A 15,740-nucleotide genomic window follows, 5' to 3' on the forward strand; every position below is an offset into this window, starting at 1 on the left:
TCAAACTTACTGGCTTAAAACAACATAAATGTATTGCCTTGTAGTTCTGGAAGTCAGAAATCCAAAAGGGTTCTCAGTGGGCTAAATCAAGCTGTTGACAGGATTGCATTCCTTCTGACAATTTTTGGGGAAAATCTGTTTCCTTGCCTTTTCTAGCTTCTAGAGGCAACCTGTTTCCTTGGCTCATGGCCCCTTCCTCCATTTAAAAGCCAGCAGTGGCATCATTTTGACCTCTGCTTCTATCAACAGCCTCTGACCCCTCTGTCTTCCTCTTATAATAAAGATCCTGGTGATTACATGGGGCCCACTCAGATAATCCAGGCTAATCTCCCCATCTCAACATCTTTGACTTAATCACATTTACAAAGTCCCATTTCCATGTACAGTAACCTATTTACAGGTTGCAGGGATTCAAAGATGGACATCTTTGGGGGATCATTATTCTGCCAACTGGAGTAGCCCTCATCCCAGTCTTTTCTGTTTGTCACCTATCCCCAATCCTGGAAACTTCTATTACTCTCGGAGAAAAAGAGATTTTATGGATCTTTTAGTCTTCCAAAAGCTCCAGGCTTCTGGTTTTTGATCTAAAAGCATTTTTCTCTGCTTTTTCTGCTCTGAAACCCTTCCCTGAGGCTACTGATGCCTCACAGTCTAAGTTTAAAAACAATGACAGGCAAATAATTACCGGGAACAGAAAGGGTGTGAATACATGCATTACCATATTATCCCAACAAGAAAAAAGTCCATCAGTCAGTGACTCATATTGCCTACTTCTCATTTGCTTCTCTGCTGGAAAGAGAAGGAGATTGGGGTCTAGAAGTTCATGTTGACAGTTCTTGCAGCAGTCCAGGATACTTAAGTCACAACCACTGCACAATGCCGCCTGCTTCACGCCAGACCATATGGTGAAAGCTTAAGATGCAATCATAAATAGTAGGGGGCTTTGCCTCAGAAAAAGCTGAAACCATAGTGGGCTAGCACTAATATTTGTGTGTGTGTGTGTGTGTGTGTGTATATATATATATATATATATATATATATATATATATATATGTATGTATATTTTAATGAGATACATGTTTCCAAATTTAAAAATACAAAAAGATATGCAAGTGAAGAAAGAATAAGTCTTCCTTTAATTCTTATCTTCCAGTCCTAGTTAATTACCTTCCCATTAAATACAATACCTTTTTGCCCTTTCTAAAATAATAAACACTTTCAAAGCAAATTGAACAGGTAAACAAGATTAAAAGGAGGTGTTTAATGTTCTGTCTTCATTATGCTCTATTTTATCAATGCTGAGCAAAGAATGACCAAGCAGAAAGCCAGCTGCTATACTACTTGGTCAAGCCAAAGAAAAGCACAGGTAAGCCATCAAATTCAAGCCCAAAGGAATAAAAGATGAGGTCTGTTAATCAGGATATACTAACTGCTGTAACAAGTAATTCAGAAATCTTAGTTGCTAAACAAAATAAGTTTATTTTTCATAGCACATGTTCATCAGCAGAAGGAAGTGCTCCACACAGTCCTTCAGAAACTCAGGTGTCTTCCATATTGTAGCTTTTTCTTCCTCTAGGTCCTTTGGAATCCTCCTACTTTGGCAGCAGGTTTCCCCAGAGTATGTGGATGTTTACATGGAAGGAGTCTATAGGGAGGTCAAAACACAGTATGCATCATTTCTGCCCACTTTCTCTGGAACATATTTTAGTCTCAGGGACCTAGCTAACTGTAAGAAAGGCTGAAAAGTGGAATCTAGCTGTGTGCCCAGAAAGAAAATGTACGAGGATGAACACAGAAATTCATGGATCCTGTTGAGGAGCAAATCCTGTGAGAGCAAATAGCAGGTGAAAAGTTTAAATGGAGTCTATTGCTGAGGCTGCAGCTATGGGGAACACAAGCAAATTCTACACATGCTTTGTAATTTCCATCCTAGGTCCCATAGAATCAATTCTTCACACAGTGATAAGTTAAAAATGTGAATTTGACCATGTTTTTCTCCCAAGTTAGTACCCAGCTCACTAGTCTCTTATGCTTATATATTGTGGGTGTTCAATGGTATCAGCACTTTGGAAAACAGTTTGGCAATTACTTATTAATTAAACCTACACTTACCATATTGCACAGCAATTCCACTCCTAGATATTTACCCAAAATAAATGAAAACATATGTTCATAAAAAGACCTATAGTGAAGGTTCTTAGCAGCAATATTCATAAAAGCCCAAATCTCAAATACCTATCAACAAATACATGGAACAACAATTTTTGAAATATCTATGGCATAAAATACTCCTTAGAATAAAAAAGAACTCAAACTGATATACACAACATGATGTATGTCAAAAACATTATGTTGAGTTTAAAAGAAGCCAGTACCAACAGGATATACACTGTATCATTTATCGGAATATCTAGAAAATGCAAACTAATCTATGGGGACAGAAAGCAGATCTGTGGTTGCCTAGGTGGAATGGGATTGACTGCAAAATGGTTCAGGGGGACATTCTGGAGTGATGGAAATATTCTATATCTTGAGTGGTAGTTATGGAGGTGTGGTCATTTACCAAACTCATTAAACTATATGCTTAAAAGGGGAGCATTTTATTGTATGCAAATTATGCCTCAATAAAGATGACTTTAAAATATTTTTTAACTCTCCTCATTTTTTAAGTCTCATTCAGAATAAATTCCAAAGTCGTCACCACGGCTCCACAAATCCCTTTCCTCTCTTGCCCCTCTTCCCCTTGCTTCCCATGCCCAGACACACTGGCCTGCTCTTCCTCACACACACCACGCCTTCTCCCACATGCACTGATGCTCCCAATTCCTTCTACGTGGACACCTAATTCCCTAGATGTCTTCCTGGCTCCTGGCCTTGCTGCACCCAGGTCTCTGCTCAAATGTGGCCTCCTCAGAGAACCTCCCCTGATCTCCCCTTTCCATCCCTCACAATATCTTTATTTTAATTTTCCTTCTTGTAGCTGATCATTACCTGAAATTATGCCGTAAGTCATTTATTGCTGGAAAGGAAGTTTTGAGGGCAGGAATTTTGCTCAGCCATCTCCATAGAGTCAACGCCTATTATAGTGCCTAGTATGCAATAGCTTCTTAGCAAACGTGTGTTTAATTTACAAGAATATATTTGTGTGTCTGTATACATATATCTATAGACACATACACATATATATACACACACGTATTAATATATACACACATATATCCACAGGTACATATTACATAAAGCACTAAATGCTATGAAGAAAAATAAAGCAGGGTGTGAACATAGGGAGTGATGTGTGTGTGTGTAAAGGGGGATATTTTGGATGGTGTAGTCAATGAAAATATCTCCAAGAAGGTGAGTTTTGAACACATACATAAATATAATGAGGGAGCAAATTATGCAGATAGCTGAGTGAGAGCATTCTGGCAGAGGGAACAGCAGGGGCAAAGGCCCTGGGGTTGCCACTTGCCTGAGGTATACAGTAACAATAGTGAGACCAGTGTGTCTGGAAAACACAAGATGCAACACCCCCCCATCCATAGTAATATTTTCTACCACTGCATCCGATTCCTTTCCACTGTCACACTTTTGACCATTTGAAATTATACACATATTTAAAGTTATGGATTGCTTGTCTCTTCCCCAAGACTGTAAGTTCCATGAAGGAAACCCCATGTCCATTTTATTCAACAGGATATATCTGCACCTATCATTAAACACCTCCTTTTAATCTTGTTTACCTGTTTCATTTGCTTTGAAAGTGTTTATTATTTTAGAAAGGGCAAAAAGGTATTGTATTTAATGGGAAAGTAATTAACTAGGACCAGAAGATAAGAATGAAAGGAAGGCTTATTCTTTCTTCACTTGTATATTCTTTTGTATTTTTAAAATTTTGAAACATGTATTTCTTTAAAATATACATATGTACAGCTCCTGGAACAGAGTAGGTGCAAACTGAAGCATGTATTGAAGGCATCAATTATGTAATGAAAGAATGAGAGGCAGAGAAGAGGAGAAAAGCACCAAGTTGGCCCTGGGCAAGGAACTCTCAGATTCAAGGCTCCAAATGAGAATACTGGTGTTATGCTGGAGGCAGGGTCAATTTGAAATCTTGTGACAGAGGGGGCAGTAGGAATCAGGCAACCTCCTGGTTTTGTCAGACAGTTTGGGTAGATGGCAAACAAATCCACTTCCCTCTCATCTCAGAAGCATGGCTTCTGTGGACACCACGGGTTCTGCTGTTCACCTGATCTTATTTGGTTACACGGGGGACAGCTGAGAAGATTTTTAAAGTAATTTATGAATCCTTGATGCATTTTTCTGAGAGACAAATACACCATCCTACTTCTGACACCTGTATTCCTAGCACTAGAACTTTCTTACCTGAAGAATTATTTTCCTGATGGCCAAAAAGTAACAGTGTGTTACTATAAAACATACAGACACAGACAGACAGACAGACAGACACACATATCACCCATAATTCACCAAACACATATATCACCCATAATTCACCAATTGAAAGACAACCATCATTTATATTTTGTTGTATTCTAGTCCAGCTTTTTGGTATATTGAAAATGCATAATTTTTTAGCAATGTAAACATCATACTATAAATGCTATTTTGTAACAAGTTTAAATACAGCAACTAATTTTAATGATTTCTCTTGTCATTGAGTAGTCCACTAAAACTCAAATTTTGAGGCTACTTTGAAAGGAGGTACTGTAATTTTATCTCACCCTGGTATTGAGCATTAAGATTTTTTATGGTTGTTGTTGTGCTTATACAGAGCTGCAAGAGAAGTCTATGTGCGTATCTTTTTTGTCACCATCTGTGAATTTCTCACCTGGGGATATGTTCTGAGAGATTTGCTGGATGAGAGGAGGAGAAGAATTATATGTGTCGTTGATGTGCTGCCATTTTATCCTCCAGAAATGCTGGATCCCCCTTCCACCAAGTGTGCATAAATTTCTCCTACGTCCAAATCTTTTGCAAATGTATTACCTTTTTATTTCTTAATTACTTACACCAGGGCTAGTCATTGAATGATTTATTTGTTAACCAACATTGTCATTTTTATCGACACGATGCATGAATGAGAAGACAGATGAGAAGAGTCAACGACAAAAAAGCTAACATCTCCCACCCCACTCTTCTGCATCCCAAGTTCAATGACCCATGGATGCCTCTTAAATCATCAAGATTTTATTTCTTCTGATGATTACTTCCATACAATGGGATGATATACAGCACTTCTATTTATTAGAAAATAGTTATCCTCTCCTCGATACTAAATGGTACTGCTTATATCATTTACGATACATCATCTTCTTCCCCTCCGGTGCTTCCTATATTTCATAGTTATATATTCCTTCTTATTCTTCTGTTGGCCACATTTTTGAAATTTTTGCTGTGAAATAATCCCAAATTTACAGAAAAGTTATAGACCCACTAAAGGAATGTCTGTATATTCTTCACCCAGATTCCCCAAACAACATTCTCATTCTTTCTAACAATATAAATTTAAACATGCATATAGATACAGATGAGGATATATATATACTAATAAATAATAGTTATATATATACTAATAATTTAAAGTTATGTATATGTAAAGTTATATATAAATATAATTTAAAGTTATATATGTAGTAAGAAATAATAGTTTATATATATATATATATATAAACTATTATTCTGAAGTGTTTGAATTGAGTTGCAAATACGATGCTCCATTACTTCTAAACACATCTGTGTGTACTTCATGAGAATCAGGACATGCTCTTATACAACCACAGTACAATGATCAAAATCAAGAAATTACATTGACACAATACTCTTATCTAATCTACAGCCCTTATTCAAACCTTTCCAATTGCCCACTACTGTCTTTTATACTACAACCAAAAAAATAATTAGCTGTCTTTTAAATTTTGAATGTTAAATACAGATCACCATCTCCAGGTTCATTTGCTTTATTCATGTCATCTTTTATATCCCTTAATAAATGTAGTACATTTCTTATTGTAGGTCTCGTATAATGCTGGTTAAGTGTATTCCTAGACATTTTAATTTGTTTTTGCTGATATTATTGTAAATGGTATCTATTAATTTTTCATAATGTACCTTACTGAACTCTTAATATTAGTTCAAAGTCTGTTTTACCCAATTTTCTAAGTAGACAGCCATATTATCTGCAAATAATAATTATTGCATTGCTTCCTGTCTAAAAATTTAACTTAATCCTTTATCTGTCCTTCTGCACTGGCCATAATGTCCAGACTATAAACTGTTCTTATTTATTTTCTCAATTTTTAAATTTAGAATGACTACAGAATCACAGGAAATTGCAAAGAACTGTACAAGGATGCCCTGTGCATACTTGACCTTGCCTTGCCCACATTGCCGTCTTCCCTAACTGTAGGACAGTAACAAAATCAGGAAATCAGCATTGGCATAATCCATAGAGTTAGGCATATTTTACCATTAACACATGCACTCACACACACATGTGAATATGTGTGTGTGTGGCTCTATGCATAGACGGAGTCTTACTCTGTCGACCAGGCTGGAGTACAATGGTGTGATCTCGGCTCACTGCAACCTCTGCCCCTGCATTTCAAGTGATTCTCCTGCCTCAGCCTCCTGAGTAGCTGTGATTACAGGCGCCTGCCACCAAGCCCAGCTAATTTTTGTATTTTTAGTAGAGACGGGACTTCACCATACTGGTCAGTCTGGTCTCAAACTCCTGACCTCAGGTGATCCACCCACCTCAGCCTCCCAAAGTGCTGGGTTTACAGGTGTGAGCCACTGCACCCGGCAGGTTCTATGCAATTTTATGTGTGTAGCTTCATATGACTAACTCTGTAATCCATTTTCTTTTTTAAATAAAGAAAAGGAAAGCAGAAATTAAGCCAGAGACCCTTCCAAAGATATATCAAAACATCTTATGAGGTGTACAACCAGCCCCAGAAATTTAGAAAATCTTGAGTTAAATACGTGCAGTTTTTTGATAAGTAAATTTTTTCCTAAATTAATGCAAACTTATGAATAAACTCATCCAGCCACAGTCTAAGACATAAAAAGCAAAATAATGCCATCTTATCAACAATGCAAATTAACGTGTAGAATTGGGTCAATTTTACTGAGCAATTTCCAAGGAAAGAAAAGCAAGAAGTAAAGGGCATTTGGGAGAGCTTCCTCTGAACTAAGGAAGATGAATTGTTATTTCCACTTCTGCTATGGGTTTCTGATTCTTACTCATCAGTCCTGTCTCTCATTCTCCCAGCTTTTTCATCCTAATCTTCCAATCCTGTGAGACAGTATGTAAAAGACACAGAGTCACCTATGAAACATTCTGGGCAAAAAATGTTTAAGTTTTTAATTTTAATTTTCAGTTTCTAAGAAATACAAAGAACAGAGGAACAAGTTAAAGACTCCCACAAGGAAGTATGTAGAGAAATCCAAAATGTAGTTCATGTTATAAGATAAGAGGGAGAGATGCTGTTCCAGATTAAAAGGAAAATAAAAACCAAATGGGAACTGTCACAGCTAAGAGGAGTCTAAGGGGACATGATGACTAAATGTAATGTAGGATCCTGGGTAAGACCACAGGACAGAAAAAGGACATTAGGTAAAAACCAACAAAATCTAAATGAAAAATTGACTTTAGCCAATAATAATGCATGAATGCATCAATATTGGTTCAATAACTGTGACGAAAGTTCCATACTAATGCAGGATGTTAATAATAGGGGAGGCCAGGCGCAATGGCTCACACCTGTAATCCCAGTACTTTGGGAGGCCGAGGCAGGTGGATCACCTGAGGTCAGGAGTTCAAGACCAGCCTGGCCAACATGGTGAAACCCTGTCTCTACTAAAATACAAAAATTAGCTGGGTGTGGTGGCGTGTGCCTGTAATCCCAGCTACTTAAGAGGCTGAGGCACGAGAATCTCTTGAACCTGAGAGGTGGAGGTTGCAGTGAGCCGAGATCGTGCCACTGCACTCCAGCCTGGGCAACAGAGTGAGACTCTGTCTCAAATCATCATCATCATCATCATCATCATCATCATCATCATCATAGGGGAAACTGGGTATGTGGTATATGAGACCTCTTATGCTATCAATTATTTCTGTAACTCTAAAACTATTCTAAAATAAAAAGGTTATTCAAGAACAAATGTAGATACTTGGAAGATTTTTTTAACGTGAACTGGATGTTAAATAATATTAGAGCATAGGTATTATTAGATGGGAAAAATCTGTTGAGTTATAAGGATAATGCCCTTACTTTTTGGCAATTTGTGCTGTAAGTATTTAAGGATAAAGTGGCTTGGTATATGAACTTACTTTAAAATGATTCAGCCCAACTCCTGGGGAATGACTGTCTGTGAAAACCTATTAGGTTAAAAGCTGTCAGGGACTTTACAATGGGTAGATTAAATGATGCAACACCGGAACCTACTTAATATCACAAAAGGAGACAACCAGACATTATGACCCTCCTAATGGAACCACACGGACGCTGCTTATAAAATACTCTGGCCCAAAATCAGATGTGGATCTGATGAAGGCTCAATAGCTAAATCCCAGTTTACAGGAGATAAAAGGAAAGGAATAACATGTTAAATAGCACCAAAAGTCTAACTCTGCAAAATTTCAAAAGTGGGGAAATTGTACAGGAGAAACAATGCAGATTTTTCAACAAATATATTGCACTAGGGGAAACAAAATAATAACAAACAGAAAAACAAGAAGACAAAACCCAGGGACTTAAACAATTATCAACCAAATTCACTGTGGAGATTTTTGTTTTAATCCCCATTATAAGACAGCAATTATAAAAACAAAAGAGAGAGAGAGAGGGAGAGGAAGAGCAGGAATCAAGAAATTTACACACTGACTAGGTATTTGGTGATATTCAGAAAGTGTTCATTATTTCAGATGTGAAAGTGACATTATGATTATATAAATAAATAAATAAATAAATAAATAAATATATATATATATATATATATATATATATAGAGAGAGAGAGAGAGAGAGAGAGAGAGAGAGAGAGAGAGAGAGAGAGAGAGAGAAAGACGGAGTCTCGCTCTGTCCCCCAGGCTGGAGTGCAGTGGCTGGAACTCGGCTTACTGCAAGCTCCGCCTCCCTGGTTCATGCCATTCTCCTGCCTCCAATTAGCTGGAACTACAGGCACCCGCCACCATGCTTGGCTAATTTTTTGTATTTTTAGTAGAGATGAGGTTTCACTGTGTTAGCCAGGATGGTCTTGATCTCCTGACCTCCTGATCTGCCCTCCTCAGCCTCCCAGAGTGCTGGAATTACAGGCGTGAGTCACCACGCCTGGTCATGATTGTATTTTTAAAAGAGTCCTTATCGTTCAGAGAGACAGACTGAAATATTTACAGATAAATATCTGGGATTTGCTTCAGAAAGAATCCAGAGCTGGGGAAGAATAGGCATGGAATGACTGAGAGAACAAATGAAATGAGATTGTCCACACATTGAAGATATTGAAGCTGGAATGGATCCACTTTACCAGTCTCTCTGCTTTAATATATAGTTGATATTTTACAAAATAAAATGCTTAAACAATGGCTAAGCAAATAAAAATATGGGCCAAATAAAAGCTAAACATTAAAAAGTTGTTGAATCCAGTTGTTCAATTATAGGTATACCATATTCAATAGTACTATCCTTTCTAATTTTCTGCATGTTTGATAATTTTCATAAAATATTAAAATGAATGACTGCATGACTGAATAAATAAAATAATGCAAAATTCAGGAAAGCAGCATCCTGCAGAGAGAAGGGGCAAGATGGAATTAGAAAGAAACACACAAAGCTACTAAGCTATAGCTAAAATTATATTTCTTATAAACGATGGTGAACTCACAGATGTTCATTTTATTAATGGCTCATAAACTATGAATGCATGCTCTATTCAACTTTATGTATGACACAAAAAGAAATGACAAGAGTCATCTTTTTTTTAAGGTTATAGATGCTTTGAGATCCTCTCTGCAAAATCTTTGCCTTGGCACTTGGCTCCTGGGGAGTCTCATTTATGTGTCCCACCATAAATCATGGCTAGCTTAGAGACTAGAAGTGGGAACTGACCACATCTCTACCTGCTTTCCTGGAAGAAGATGAAGCAGAGTTATCAGCCGTGGGAGTCAAAGAGAACTAACTAAAGAAAGGAATAAATATCACAGACATGTCAAACTCCAGTTTGTGATTTGTCCTTCCTTCTTTTCTTTCTTCCTTCCTCCCCTTTCCCTCTTTTTCTCTTTCTCTCCTCTTTCTTCTAAGATGAAGTTAAATTTTAAAAGTCTCCACTAGCTTTCCATCCTCCTAAGAGAAAAGGTTCAACCCTTATTCATTTCGAGGTATTTGACAAGAACAAGGCTTTCATATAAAGTGTTAAAATAACCTGCGAGCAGGGTAGCCCCTCTTGGGGTGCTTAAGTAGAAACGATTTGACCCAGAGAATGTGACCCACCAGGAGGTTGAAGTAGGTCAGCCATAGAGGAGACAGCAAGGGACAGAGAGACACAGGACGTCAGAGAGCCAGATAGCTCTGTCTCACGATATAAATGAGTGCCTGCCAGAATGACGTTTCTTTAGGCTTGCTGTGTGACTTCTGACCAGTAACTACTCCTCTCTAAGCAGCAATTTTCACTCCAGTAAAATGGACTTAGTCAGTGGCTGCCAACTGCAGGGGCCAGGTAGAGAAAGTAAAGGAGCAAAGTGAGCTAGGGCTGGGGGTGAGGGAGGGAAGGGGTCTGAACTAGAGAACAGTATGTGCACCTGATCTAACTGAAAGTCAGGACTCAGCTCCAGGTGGGAATGAAGCCCCCCCTTTTAGTCAGAGCACCCATTTCTTTCTGAACAACATGAAAGTCTGATATTTGAAAGTGCAGTCTCCCTATTTTCAAATGCTGACAATAAATTCAATCTAAAAAGGAAAGAGAAGCAACAATCAAAGAAAAAGCAACCATAAACCCATTGTGCAGCTCCGAACTAAAGTTATCTGGGAGTTGAAGGTGGGATAGTATCTTCAAATACCATCTAATACAGAGATTAGATCTCTGTATTAGATGGTATCTGAAGAACCTCTGAAGTGTTAACAGTCTATGTTAAAAGTCTGACTTAGGGGTTAGGAAGATATACTTCAGATTCAGAAAGAACTGTGTTCAAGCCCATTTCAAGCTCTTTCTCTTTCTGCATCTGTGATATTGGGCAAGTTTCTTAACCTCTCTTAGTTTCAGCATCCTCCCCTGATATTGTGCATCTGCAAGTTCAGAATGAGAAACCCCCAGCCCTAGCTCACTTTGCACAAAATGTAACCCCCCGTGCCTACCACAGTCCTCAATAAATGACAATCATCATAATTCTCTACCTTCACCAGTATATGATAGCTGCATACTTTTACATCCGGATGACTCGAAGCAAATAAATAATTGGATGAACTTCTGGTTGCTTGGGTTTCCCAGGAACACAGCAGGAAATTCCACTGGGGAAGCATCAGACAAGACACCGATGACGCAGAAAGGCTTCATGTCAGCCACTGCAGGCAACGGGCTGCTCTTGAGTTCATCTCCTGGATCTCTAAGTCTGGGGACCTTGTGGGTAAAAAATGAAACTGATGCCCACAACTAAACTAAGATTAAATCAAAAGCAATTCAATATTTTATTTTGAAAGCTGTGTTTTAAGTATTTCTTTCTTGTGTAGTAATTTTAGATTTATCAAATGGCTTTAAAGATAGTTCGGGAGGTTCCTATATACCCTCGCCAAGTTTTCCCAGTTAAAAAAATTTTTAAGGAGAAACGATTTGACCCAGAGAATTTTACTTGAGATGGGATCTCACTATGTTGCCCAGGCTGGTCTCTAACTCCTGAGCTCAAGTATTCCTCCCACCTCAGCCACCCAAAGTGCTGGGATTTGTTAACACAAACTAAATATGGACTCTGTACTTCTATATTTGAGTCCTTGTGGACAAACTGCAACCTAACTTAATAGGTAGACAAAATTGAAAACCGAACATAGGAGTACACACCTGTAACAACAGCTGAGTCGTGGCCAATCCCAGGAGCTATACTTCAACCACTCATACACCGATGAGTGTTGAAGCTGTGTTCAAATGAGGCAAACGCCAACCTGTAACCAATCCAGCTGTTCTGTACCTCACTTCTGATTTGTGTACATCATTTCCCCCCACTTTCTTTTTTTGAGACAGAGTCTTGCTCTGTTTCCCAGGCTGGAGTGTAGTGGCATGATCTCTGCTCACTGCAAGCTCTGCCTCCCGGGTTCACGCCATTCTCCTGCCTCAGCCTCCTGAGTAGCTGGGACTACAGGCGCCTGCCACAACGCCCGGCTGATTTTTTGTATTTTTAGTAGATGTGTGGTTTCACCGTGTTAGCCAGGATGGTCTCGATCTCCTGACCTCTTGATCCACCCGCCTCAGCCTCCCAAAGTGCTGGGATTAGAGGCGTGAGCCACCGCGCCTGGCCCTCTTTTTTTGTCTATAAATCTTCCACTACATGGCTGTGCTGGAGTCTCTTTGAATCAGCTGTGATTCTGGGGGATATCCGATCCCTGAATCGTTCATTGCTCAACTAAACTCCTTTACATTCAATTTGCCTGAAGTTTTTCTTTTTTTTTTTTTCCTTCAGATCGAGTCTCACACTGTCGCCTGGGCTAGAGTGCAATGGCATGATCTCAGCTCACTGCAACCTCCGCCTCCCAGTTCAAGCAATTCTCCTGCCTCAGCTCCCGAGTAGCTGGGATTACAGGTGTCCACAACCATGCCTGGCTAATTTTTTATATTTTCAGTAGAGACGAGATTTCACCATGTTGGCCAGGCTGGAGTGCAAAGGTCAGGTCTCAAACTACTGACCTCAGGTGATCCGCCCACCTTGGCCTCCCAAAGTGCTGGGATTACAGGCGTGGGCCACAGCACTTGGCTGAAGTTTTTCCTTTATCAGATGACAGGCATGAGCCAGTAGTTTTGCCCAGCCATTTTCTCCTCTTGTTAACATCTCACATAACCTGAGTAAATTTGTCACAACTGAAAAACCAACATTCTTACATTATTATTAACTAAATTCTGGACTTAATTACAATTTCATCTGTCTTTCCATGTATGTCCTCTTTCTGTTCCACCATCTGATCCAAGGTATCACATTGCATTTAGTTGTAGCATCTCCCCAGTCTCCTCTGATGTGTCCATTTCTCAGTCTTTCCTTGGTTTTCATGACCCTGGAAGTCCTAGTGGGGATACTGGCCAGGTATTTTGTAGAATGTCCTCCACTCTGGGTTTCTCTGGTGGACTTCTCATGAGTAGACTGGAGTTTGGGTTTGGGGGAAGAACACCACAAAACTGAAGCATCTTCCTCTTCACATCTTTTTTTTTTTTTTTTTTTTTTTTTTTTTTTTTTTTTTAAGACGGAGTCTCGCTCTGTCGCCCAGGCCGGACTGCGGACTGCAGTGGCGCAATCTCGGCTCACTGCAAGCTCCGCTTCCCGGGTTCACGCCATTCTCCTGCCTCAGCCTCCCGAGTAGCTGGGACTACAGGCGCCCGCCACCGCGCCCGGCTAATTTTTTGTATTTTTTTTTAGTAGAGACGGGGTTTCACCTTGTTAGCCAGGATGGTCTCGATCTCCTGACCTCATGATCCACCCGCCTCGGCCTCCCAAAGTGCTGGGATTACAGGCGTGAGCCACCGCGCCCGGCCCCTCTTCACATCTTATCCAAGGCTGCATGAGAGCCACCAGGCTTCCTCAGTGAGGTTGGCATTCATCACTTGGGTAGCATTTGCCAGGTTTCGCCACTTGCTTTTTTTTTTTTTATTTTGAGATGGGATCTCACTCTGTCACCCAGGCTGGAGTGCAATGGTGCTATCTCGGCTCACTGCAACCTCCACCTCCCAGGTTCAAGCGATTCTCCTGCCTCAGCCTCCTGAGTAGCTGGGATTACAGGCATGTGCAACCACGCCTGGCTAATTTTTGTATTTTTAGTAGAGACTGGGTTTCACCATGTTGATCAGGCTGGTCTCCAACTCCTGACCTGTGACCCACCCACCTCGGCCTCCCAAAGTGCTGGGATTACAGGCGTGAGCCACCATGCCCAGCCTCCACTTTCTAATTAGTGTATTTTCCCTTCTCATACTTTATTCTTTGGAAGCAAACCACTAAGTCAAGCCCACTTTTTGTGGGACGTGGGAGGTGATGAGGAAGATTAAGTAGCTCCTCCCAGAGTGGGAGTGCCTACACATATTAAATGTAAGCAGCAACTGGCCGGATGCTGGGGCTCATGCCTGCAATCCCAGCATTTGGGGAAGCTTTGGAAGGATTGCTCAAGGCCAGGAGTTTGAGACCTGTCTGGGCAACATAATGAGACCCCATCTCTACTAAAAAAATTTAAAATTATCTGGGCATGGTGACATGTGACTGTCATCCCAGCTACTCAGGAGGCTGAGGCAGGAGGATTGCTTGAGCCCAGGAGTTGGACGCTGCAGTGAGCCATGATTGTGCCACTGCACTCTAGTCTGGGTGACACTGCAAGACCCTGCCTCAAAAAATAAATAAATAAATATATATATATATATACACACACACACACACACACATATATATATAATGATCTTTCATTCTTGTGTGGTACTGTACCCCTACTTTACAAAAGTGGAAATGGAGGCCCAGCAAGGTTAAATGACTTGCCCACAGTGGCTACATTTATAGATAACAACGCTTAGGTTCAAACCTCCATCTCTCTGCCCGCAAAGCCCATCTTCTTAGTCCTGCATGGGATGCCAGACTCCACCAGCACTGCCTCCGCCCCTCTGCCTCTGGTTATCTCCACAGGAAACCATGAGTCTTTGATGATCTCATCTTTGCCATCTCCTTCAGGTCTGAAATGGTTGGTTTCTACCATCTATGGCATGAGTTAAATCACTGACGTAGAAGAACAACCTGGCCCAGTCTTTCTCAGAATTGCTGTGCCCTCGTGGTCACCAAAACTGAGTCAGGAGTGAGTCATACTTATTTCCAGGTACTGGTGAAATCTTGTGGGGGCAACTGTCATCACAGCCTCTTAACAGCTCAGCAAGGTGCAAACTTACTTACGCAAGCCTCTGGCACTCTAGAAAGTAAAATGCACAAGAAAGGATAGAAACACTTGTTTTTTTTACTACCTGGAATTCAGAAAAACAGCCGTGTTTTTCTAGACTCTTGACTTTCCAATGGAGGCACATTTATAACTCATTACTTTTCACAATACTCTACATTGAAAATACATCTACTGATCAGGACTCTATGATAACCTGGGGTTAAAAATCCAACGTAAGTTGACTGTAGCAAGAAACATAAGGTAGCATTCAGTTCATTTAAGTGAAAAGTCTAGTTTAGTTGTTACAGGAATGGCTTGACCCTGGAACTCAAAAAAACATTGTTAGAATTCTTCCTTCTTATTTGTAAATTTCTACTCTTCTGTGTTGGCATCAGTCTCAGACACCCTTTCTCCAAGGTGACATGGCATCTTCCAGCTGCTCTAGGCTTAGAGCTTTTCAGCACAAAAGTATCAGTAGAAAAATAAATGTCTCTGTGCTAATTGTTCTAGCAAAAGTTTCAGTTCTAACTCTGATTGGCCATAAGTGTGGTCATGAACTATATCAATTATCTACTGCCACAGAAAGAGTGAGCAACAAAGCCTCAGTGGTATATAAAAATAA

General features: G+C 39.9%; 1 long non-coding RNA gene across 2 annotated transcripts; it reads right to left on the bottom strand.

Moving 5' to 3' along the window:
* Nucleotides 1–1,459: 1,459 nt before the first annotated feature.
* LINC02195 (long intergenic non-protein coding RNA 2195) lies at nucleotides 1,460–12,150 on the bottom strand. Of its 2 annotated transcripts, none has more exons than XR_950950.3 (3): nucleotides 12,069–12,150; nucleotides 11,438–11,633; nucleotides 1,460–1,645 (listed from the first exon to the last, which is right to left on the bottom strand). It is a non-coding gene; the product is annotated as a long intergenic non-protein coding RNA 2195 (long non-coding RNA). The 2 variants fall into 2 exon arrangements; XR_950949.4 differs by having other exon boundaries at nucleotides 11,411–11,633.
* Between the last annotated feature and the right edge of the window lie 3,590 nt (nucleotides 12,151–15,740).

This window comes from Homo sapiens, chromosome 16, assembly GCF_000001405.40.
Source record: "Homo sapiens chromosome 16, GRCh38.p14 Primary Assembly".
NCBI lineage: Eukaryota > Metazoa > Chordata > Mammalia > Primates > Hominidae > Homo > Homo sapiens.